The following is an 8,822-nucleotide window of genomic DNA, read 5'->3' as shown; positions in this document are numbered from 1 at the left end:
TTGTAAAAGAGTATTATTTATTAGAAAGAATAACAAAGTATATACATGTCATTTAACACATATGTCTGGGCTACTAGGACACTGTAATAGTGGATTTCTTCTGGAGCCTAAAACACCACGCTTCGATACTTGAGAATTTCTGCTCACAAAAAAGTTTAAGAGTTTTTTGTAAAAATTAAAATGTAGGCCGGGTGCAGTGGCTCACGCCTGTAATCCCAGCACTTTGGGAGGCCGAGGCGGGCGGATCATGAGGTCAAGCGATTGAGACCATCCTGGCCAACATGGTGAAACCCCGTCTCTACTAAAAATACAAAAATACAGGCATGCCAGCATGTGCCTGTAATCCCAACCACTCCTGCTGAGACAGGAGAATTGCTTAAACCTGGGAGGCGGAGGTTGCAGTGAGTCGAGATCGTGCCACTGCCCTCCAGCCTGGCAACGGAGCGAGACTTCGCCTCAAAAAACAAAACAAAAAATTAAAAATAAAAATCCTCAATAAAATACTGGCGAACCAAATCCAGCAGCACATCAAAAAGCTTATCCACCATGTTCAAGTGGGCTTCATCCCTGGGATGCAAGGCTGGTTCAATATACGCAAATCAATCAATGTAATCCAGCATATAAACAGAACCAAAGACAAAAACCACATGATTATCTCAATAGATGCAGAAAAGGCCTTTGACAAAATTCAACAACGCTTCATGCTAAAAACTCTCAATAAATCAGGTATTGATGGGACGTATCTCAAAATAATAAGAGCTATCTATGACAAACCCACAGCCAATATCATACTGAATGGGCAAAAACTGGAAGCATTCCCTTTGAAAACTGGCACAAGACAGGGATGCCCTCTCTCACCACTCCTATTCAACATAGTGTTGGAAGTTCTGGCCAGGGCAATTAGGCAGGAGAAGGAAGTAAAAAGTATTCAATTAGGAAAAGAGGAAGTCAAATTGTCCCTGTTTGCAGATGACATGATTGTATATCTAGAAAACCCCATTGTCTCAGCCCAAAATCTCCTTAAGCTGATAAGCAACTTCAGCAAAGTCTCAGGATACAAAATCAATGTACAAAAATCACAAGCATTCTTATACACCAATAACAGACAAACAGAGAGCCAAATCATGAGTGAACTCCCATTCACAATTGCTTCAAAGAGAACAAAATACCTAGGAATCCAACTTACAAGGGACGTGAAGGACCTCTTCAAGGAGAACTACAAACCACTGCTCAATGAAATAAAAGAGGATACAAACAAATGGAAGAACATTCCATGCTCATGGATAGGAAGAATCAATATCGTGAAAATGGCCATACTGCCCAAGGTAATTTATAGATTCAATGCCATCCCCATCAAGCTACCAATGACTTTCTTCACAGAATTGGAAAAAACTACTTTAAAGTTCATATGGAACCAAAAAAGAGCCCGCATCGCCAAGTCAATCCTAAGCCAAAAGAACAAAGCTGGAGGCATCATGCTACCTGACTTCAAACTATACTACAAGGCTACAATAACCAAAACAGCATGGTACTGGTACCAAAACAGAGATATAGATCAATGGAACACAAAAGAGCCCTCAGAAATAACGCCGCATGTCTACAGCTATCTGATCTTTGACAAACCTGAGAAAAACAAGCAATGGGGAAAGGATTCCCTATTGAATAAATGGTGCTGGGAAAACTGGCTAGCCATATGTAGAAAGCTGAAACTGGATCCCTTCCTTACACCTTATACAAAAATTATTTCAAGATGGATTAAAGACTTACATGTCAGACCTAAAACCATAAAAACCCTAGAAGAAAACCTAGGCATTACCATTCAGGACATAGGCATGGGCAAGGACTTCATGTCTAAAACACCAAAAGCAATGGCAACAAAAGACAAAATTGACAAATGGGATCTAATTCAACTCAAGAGCTTCTGCACAGCAAAAGAAACTACCATCAGAGTGAACAGGCAACTTACAAAATGGCAGAAAATTTTCGCAACCTACTCATCTGACAAAGGGCTAATATCCAGAATCTACAATGAACTCAAACAAATTTACAAGAAAAAAACAAACAACCCCATCAAAAAGTGGGCAAAGGACATGAACAGACACTTCTCAAAAGAAGACATTTATGCAGCCAAAAAACACATGAAAAAATGCTCACCATCACTGACCATCAGAGAAATGCAAATCAAAACCACAATGAGATACCATCTCACACCAGTTAGAATGGCGATCATTAAAAAGTCAGGAAACAACAGGTGCTGGAGAGGATGTGGAGAAATAGGAACACTTTTACACTGTTGGTGGGACTGTAAACTAGTTCAACCATTGTGGAAGTCAGTGTGGCGATTCCTCAGGAATCTAGAACTAGAAATACCATTTGACCCAGCCATCCCATTACTGGGTATATACTCAAAGGACTATAAATCATGCTGCTATAAAGACACATGCACACGTATGTTTATTGCAGCACTATTCACAATAGCAAAGACTTGGAACCAACCCAAATGTCCAACAATGATAGACTGGATTAAGAAAATGTGGCACATATACACCATGGAATACTATGCAGCCATAAAAAAGGATGAGTTCATGTCCTTTGTAGGGACATGGATGAAATTGGAAATCATCATTCTCAGTAAACTATCGCAAGGACAAAAAACCAAACACCACATGTTCTCACTCATAGATGGGAATTGAACAATGAGAACACATGGACACAGGAAGGGGAACATCACACTCTGGGGACTGTTGTGGGGTGGGGGGAGGGGAGAGGGATAGCATTAGGAGATATACCTAATGCTAAATGACGAGTTAATGGGTGCAGCACACTAGCATGGCACATGTATACATATGTAACTAACCTGCACATTGTACACATGTACCCTAAAACTTAAAGTATAATAACAATAAAATAAAAGAAAAAAATTAAAAAATTAAAATGTAGTAAATAAAGGTCTATTAAAAAATACTGAACAAAAGTGAAGTTCTGGTAGTATCAGTGACCGTAGGTATTGTAAAATATCCTTTTTGGAAAAATAGTGAATCAACCAAACATTGAAAATACATTTTCTCCTAAAATACACAAGTGTATAGTGGAAATACTGTGTATGTATCCAAATAACAGCAGTATTCTTTTATCAGAAGTGAATAGCTTTATAAATTATAATGTATACATCAACCCATGCTCTTTGTGCACAGTAAGTATACTTTTGGAGTCAAAGAACTTCAAAGTACAACCAGCTCTAGATCTTTTTTGTTAGTGGTCTATATGAAGACCATGAGTAGATGAAGTGGGTTTACTTGATAAATATTTTGATGGCCTATTATGTCCCAGGCATTGTGTTAGGCACTAGCAATGCAATTATAGAATGACAGACATGTTCTCTTCCCTTGTGAAGCCTATTGATTAATTTAATAATTAATCAATTATTAAAGCAGCAGCTGACAAATAAGCTATTGCAATATAGCATGAGAAGTGCTGACCTGGAAAGCACAGGGTTGCACTTGAGAAACCAAGCCATAATGAAGAACCAAAACTGGATTTAAAGGAGTCAGAGAAGTTTCCCTGGAGGACATGATGTCTCACTTGAGGTCTTAAGGCTGTGTAGATATTGGTCAGTCTGGTAGGGAGCAGTTAAAGAAGTAAAGCATGTACAAAGTTCTGGAAGTAAGAAAGCATGTCTCTTTAAAGGAACTGGGGAAAAGTTCAGTATAGTTGAATCCTGGAAATGGAGAGTGGCAGTATAGAGAGATGAGGTACGCAAGAACCAGTACATGAAGAGCCTTGTAAAACATATTAAGGCATAAGGACTTTATCATAACGAAAACAGAAAGCCATTGAAAAGATTTAGGTCAAGGATATCAGAATCATGTTAGAATAATTCTTTAGAAAGATCTGTAACTACAAAGTGGAAAATGAAGGTAGGGAGGCTAATCAGGATTCTCAGCATGCCAGGTGAGATGATGGCAGAATGGACTCAGTGATGCTAGGAATGAATAGAAGTAGAAAGATTATATTTTTAGAAGTAAAATAGATTTGGTACTTGGTTACATGTAGGTAGTGTAGGAAACACAGAGTCAAGGATGTCATCTACAACTCCTGCTTGAGCAGTTAGGGAAAGGATTGTGTCATTTGCTGAGATGGGAAACAGGAATTAAAGATTTGGGAGAAGGATGCTGCGCTCGTTTGGACACGCTGAGTCTTGGGTACTATGGGATAACCAAATGCAAATAAATATTGGGCAAGCAATTGAATGTAGGAGTCTTAAATTCTGTACAGTGCTCTGATCTAGAGATGCAAATTGGGGAGCTGTTAGGATGCAAATGGTAACTCTGCAGCCACGGGAGTGGTGACATTGCCGAGCTGCTGTGTGGAGTGATGTGAGAGCAGGCTGTTGGACTGAACTCCAACGCATACCAAAAATTAAATGTTGGGCAGAGAGACAAGAGTTGCAAATGACCTCTAATCCACCAATACTCCTGAAGTCATAGTTTGTAAATAAGTTTATATTCTTCTCGGCCAACTCTATTACCAGGCATGAAAGTCTTTTTTTTTTTTTTTTGAGATGGAGTTTCGCTCTTGTTGCCCAGATTGAGTGCAAGGGCATAATCTTGGCTCACTGCAAACTTTGGCTTCCGGGTTCAAGCGACTCTCCTGCCTCAGCCTCCTGAGTAGCTGAGATTACAGGCATGCACCACCACGCCTAGCTAATTTTGTATTTTTTTTTTTTTTTTTTTAGTAGAGACGGGGTTTCTCCATGTTGGTCAGGCTAGTCTCGAACTCCCGACCTCAGGTGATCCGCCCGCTTCGGCCTCCCAAAGTGCTGTCCCAGCACTTTTATAGGGATGAGCCACCGCGCCTGGCCGTCTTACATTTTTTTTTCTCCCTTCAATTGTAAAGCCATAAATTGGTAATGAAAGCATTTTAAACACCTGAAATTAATAAACATTTGTAAAATAACTATTAAAACAATCTATGAACCACACGAATAGCCTTTGATTGCTCCAAACCTGGCTTTGACTATTTTGAGCTTTCTATATTACAACAGACCTTTACTTATACTGTAATTTTTCCTCTATCATTCTGTAAGTTTTGCCTTTCCTGATTGCCTGGATAGTCTTTAGTGGATTTACAGCTTGGTGACAGCCTAGAGAGATTTTCTGTGGTCAAAACATGATTAAATAGAGATTTGTTGGTCAGAAGATAACCATGAACCATAATACCCACAAGGGAAAGAGCCAGATTCAGTTTTGGGTGGGTCGATGGGGATTTACCTCATATGCTTTCTTTTATTTCACAAAATGTGTTCTGTTCTTTACTTTCGTATCTGTAGGAATAGAAATGGGAATGTGGCCTCTAGGGTGTGCTGATGTATGTTTAACAGCTGGCTTTCAAGGAAAAAAAAAAAAAAAAGATCTGATTTGCAGTGTTTACTAATTTTTTTGGTGTAAATACTCTCACCATGGCCAATTTCAAACTACCAACTTGACAGCACTGAAGGCAGAAAAAATGTTCACAGTTGGCTCTTGTAAGCCAGTGCAAGCTTGCTCCAGCACACTACTGGACTAGGAATGATCTGCCTGTAGCCAGGAATGGGAAAATACCTTGCCCATGACAGCTTAAGGTATGAGAGGACAGAATTCTACAAAATACAGAGTTTTTACTTTAAGAAAAATGGATTTACTCATCTACAGTCTGTTTATTTGTAGACTTCGACCTTTTTCTTTTGAATTACTGGCCATATGAGTATGCATTATGTAATAACCTTAGCATTGTAACTTCTATTTCTTTATTCATAAGCAATAACAGTTTCTAAAACTGGCTTGTATTTGAGATTGAAATGATGAGAATCATTTTCAATCCAATTTTTTTTTTTTTTTTTTTTTTTTTGAGATGGGGTCTCACTCTGTTACCCAGAGTGCTGGAGTGCTCACTGCAAGCTCTGCCTCCCGGGTTCACGCCATTCTCCTGCCTCAGCCTCCTGAGTAGCTGGGACGACAGGCACCTGCCACCAGGCCCGGCTAATTTTTTGTACCTTTAGTAGGGATGGGGTTTCACCATGTTAGCCAGGAAGGTCTCGATCTCCTGACCTTGTGATCCACCCGCCTCAGCCTCCCAAAGTGCTAGGATTACAGGCGTGAGCCACCGCGCCCGGCCCAATCTAATTCTTTATACCATGAACCAAATAAATTACCAGTTTTATTTCAGGATATTAGTATAATCTGCATTCTAATATATTTCATAAAAGAAAATATTTTATTTCCATTACATAGGCAAAGTTTGTTTTTTCCCATATCAAAGCCAAATATTATTTGATGTACTGACCAATAATATATGTAGAAAGAATAACAGCAAAATATCTTATTTCTTTATATAATTTAATATATACCCTATTAACACCAGTGTGCAGATGTACAGTACTGACAGTATACTAAATAGTTAGTATTAAAAATTACTTTAAAAATGTTTTCAACATTAGGTACTGGTGGAACCAGAGCTGTTATTTTGTACATCATATCATTTATGTGTTGCAAAGGAAAAGTAAAATTTCCAGTAGCATTAGAAAAAAATGTACTGATATTTTATGTAGATATACAAAATCTCATGACATCTATTGAAAACCTCACAATTCTATTGTGCACTAATAAAAACACCTTTTCAAACAACTTGCACTTATACTGAGTTCATAAAGGCTACTATAAAAATATTGCAAAAGCAATAAAAACACAATATCGTACAAAGTCTTTTGTTTTTTAAAAGTCAAATTTTAAAAGGACTGTATTTATATAAATGTGCAATACTTTTTAGTGACCCTGACTAACATTTTTGTTTAGGATTATCTGATTTTAGAAAACTAAGTTAAATGTTTTTCCTTATTTTCTGTTTCAGAATGAGAAGACACTAAGAATGCACAGAGGTTTAGAAATAAGATTGGGTAAAAGCTTTATGAAGTGGGATAGCAAGCACTCTACATGTTTTACTTGTTGCCCTACCAAAGATACAAATGCCTGACTGCCCCAATTTCTGAAATTTAACTTGAATTCTAAATCTTAACTACCCCCCTTTCCTTTATAATCTTTGAGATGAAAGTGTAAAGATTTTAGGTTCTCTAACAAAACCCAAAATATCACTAAAGCCATTCTCCATTTTCAAAGAATATTTAAAGAAATGCGTATTTCAATATAAAACCTGAAAATGCTGAATTAAGACACCTTAATAACATGGCTAGCCAATTACTGATGTGACTTTAGCCTTAGAAAAAGATTATCAAAATTGGCTAAGTTCCAAATTTAAGCATTTGGTTTTATACTGTTAATATTGTACCTTTCTGATATAGATATCAAAGAAAAATGATCTGATTTTTTTCCTGAAAACAACAGTAAAATACAAATTTTTTGTGAAAAAATCCATGTCAAGATAGGAAATACATTGTTTCAAAACTCAGAATAAGTGTTATGAAAGAACTATAAAATTATAAATTTCTAAAAAAAAATACACTGAAAATGTCTCTCTAGGAAAAAATATGCAACTTGTTAGATACAAGAAAATATGGCATTACCATAGGGTGCAGTCAACTAGGCTATGAGACTTTAAAAACTCACAAAAAGTAATTAGCACCAAAATTGTCTGAAACTTCAAATGATATATTAAAGTAGGTCTAGGTCCAAATGTTACATTTTAAAAAAGTTATATTTAACCTGGGAGCTTTCCCCAGTAATAATAAATATATTATTTTTGACCTTTAGAAAACGTTCTATCTTTACTGATTTTCATCACAATATTAAGGTAGTGTATGCTAATTATCATTTACCTTAGTTTAGGCTGGGTAGGGACAATTGAAATCCAAATATTTCCCAAATAATATGAGATTATTTGGTGGGGAGTGTGAGTGGGGAGAAGTTTTCTAAGTGAAACTTACTTTTAGCTTGTTTCATACTTTTTCTTCTGAAATGTTTTATTGGAACTCTTTATAAGAACTATATTGCTTGATTTGAATTCCATGTCCTGTTATTTTCCCTGTTCACTTTCTGGTGGTGTTACTTAAGATTTGGCATGGGGATAGAGGTGTATAAAGGAGACAGAGATCACAGTAGTGAAACAAGAGTTTTGAATAAGCTAATGTATATTCAAAATATATATTCAACCCTGTTATGATCAAGAGTTTAGTTTTAAGTGACATCCATGTATAAATTTACTTACAAAACAGCCAGCACATGATTTGAAACAAGGCAAACTTTTTCGGTTGTCAAAAAGTGAAATATATAACTTCTTCAATTACATATATGGCTACCAAATGTCAAACAATTCAATTCGGCCATGTTTTACTGTTGCACATAAATAATAACAAGGCAAAGAACAGCAACTAGTCCAAGGGCTTGCAGGCCAAGGAACCACAGCATAACCCAAAAGAAAATGACTATTACTGGTTCCACTATTCGTTCTCCAAAATACATCCTTGTGAAGCCCATGTTGATAAGGTTTTTGTTCAGTTCACCAAAAAGTGTTCCCATTTTCTTGTAGTCATCTCCAACCGGCTCACCAGTGTGGTTCTGTGAGTCTTCAACATCCTTTAAAAAAAAAAAAAAAGACAAAACATGAACATAACATGAGAAATATGTAAACGTCTTTAAGAACCTTAGTTCTTCATCTTCCAAAGTGCTGGGCATACTTCTGATAATTATTCTACAAGTACCTGTTAACACAATGGGAATGTTCTTTTTGATCCTGGAATTGCACAAAAATGACTGCTTAAGTGAAGAATCATGTTTGTATTTCTCTTGTGAGTGACCATGATTTCAGAACACCCTTTTCTGCCACCCTCCTGT

The 8,822-nt window shown here is 36.9% G+C and overlaps 1 protein-coding gene across 1 annotated transcript in view; it reads right to left on the bottom strand.

The window, feature by feature from the left end:
- Positions 1-8,822, bottom strand: part of FAM241A (family with sequence similarity 241 member A) — a 49,803-nt gene continuing 40,981 nt past the window's right edge. Inside the window, exon 2 of the mRNA NM_152400.3 lies at positions 1-8,564. Within this exon, the coding sequence (NP_689613.2) occupies positions 8,319-8,564 (246 nt within the window). The 3' untranslated portion in view covers positions 1-8,318. The remainder of the gene's footprint in view (positions 8,565-8,822) is intronic.

This window comes from Homo sapiens, chromosome 4 (assembly GCF_000001405.40).
Source record: "Homo sapiens chromosome 4, GRCh38.p14 Primary Assembly".
NCBI classification, from domain to species: domain Eukaryota; kingdom Metazoa; phylum Chordata; class Mammalia; order Primates; family Hominidae; genus Homo; species Homo sapiens.
This window is presented reverse-complemented; position numbering and strand designations above follow the sequence as displayed.